The sequence below is a fragment of the Homo sapiens genome, chromosome 6 (assembly GCF_000001405.40).
Source record: "Homo sapiens chromosome 6, GRCh38.p14 Primary Assembly".
Lineage (NCBI taxonomy): Eukaryota > Metazoa > Chordata > Mammalia > Primates > Hominidae > Homo > Homo sapiens.
Window position 1 is genome coordinate 9,455,844 of NC_000006.12, and position 1,411 is coordinate 9,457,254.

Below are 1,411 nucleotides of genomic sequence, written 5' to 3' on the forward strand. Positions count from 1 at the left end.
AACCAATTAACCACGGTCGTTTATCTGTTCACAAGAACGAGCAGGAGTGCAGAAGTGGAGGGAAGAGGCACCCACATGTAGAGAGGGATGGAAGAGGGTTAACAGGCAGGCAGATTTGTAGGCACAGAATGATCCGCTCTCACCCCTAATGAGCAGAATCAGGCAGCTTTAATTCACGTTTTGTGGGGGTTTTTGTCCCTGAACCACAAAAGGGAATACAGGCTCCTGTTTAGGGGAGGGTTAGATTAGTCCTATCTGGTCAAAGGGAACAATACTGACATGTTAGTTGATCAGAAAGATGTTTTCACACTGTTTCTCATAGATAGTCCCTGGAGACAACTTTCTTTCTCTCTCTCTCTCTCTCTGTCTGTCTCTCTCTCTTTTTTTAATTACCAAGCATGACATTCATGGTTATTTCTTCTTTCCACCCAGTTGACTACAAAGGGGCCAGCTCTTCAGCCCCTTGTTGGCCAGGCCTGGGGGAGGAAGTGACAGAAGGCTGGCTTTATTTACCTTAGCAGCTTCCCGTGTAATCTGGTTAATCTTGTGGCTAATGGGAGGACACCATGGGTCCCCACACACTGTGCTCCACAATGAGGGCTCATTCATATTTAATACAATAGAGTGTTTAAGTCATTCCACGCTTTGTGGAGAAGATTGGCTTTCTTTGTGTGCCTTCTCCTGAGAAGCCTTCCCAGCTCGTCCTCTTTCAGACAGGCATATGTTCCAGCTCCTGCCTGCCGCAGCTGCACAAGGACAGAGCAGGCTTCTTTTTTTCTCCCTCTCTTTTTTAAGCCAATGAATTGATGACTGCAGTGTGAAATGTGGGTTGAAATGGTCCCCTCCTCCCCCGCCCCACCCCAAGGATGCATAGATGAGCCCTTTGCTATTCTAATATCTCACAACAAGACATCTCAAGAGGAAGCAGGGCTCATGTTCCTCCAGTGTGCCATTGTGAGGACAACAATCTGTTGAGCACAAAAGAAAAATAAATAAATAAAAGCAGGTGACACGTTGACCTTGTTCCTTTAATATTATCTGTGTATGGTGCGCCCCAAGCAGGGCTCTGGAGAAAAGAATAAACGGGGGTGCTTGGGTGGTGGGAAACGTTCTTACCCCATACAGAATGTTTAAACAATCCCATTGGAAAGAGAATCTCATGAAAACACAGCCACTTGGTCCTTGGATTTGATTTTAGGGAGAGGAAAAAAAATGAGGTCTCATTAGTCCTAATGGGATAGATAATGGATACACAGATTCTGTCACAGCACACTGGATAAACTGACATTTTGGAGAATAATAGAAATTAATGACTTTTGATTTCTAAAGTACAGATGGTAATGTTCTTAATTCTTATTTTCTTTTTCAAATTTGGTTCAAATTTTAAAGTAACTGAAATACTATCAGACTC

The 1,411-nt window shown here is 43.7% G+C and overlaps 1 annotated feature.

The window, feature by feature from the left end:
• Positions 259-910: an enhancer, noted in NCBI's record as "OCT4-NANOG hESC enhancer chr6:9456335-9456986 (GRCh37/hg19 assembly coordinates)". NCBI's record gives its function as "activates a minimal SCP1, AML or CMV promoter by ChIP-STARR-seq in primed H9 embryonic stem cells {active_cell/tissue: H9 hESC(primed)}" and the evidence as "EXISTENCE:reporter gene assay evidence [ECO:0000049][PMID:30033119]".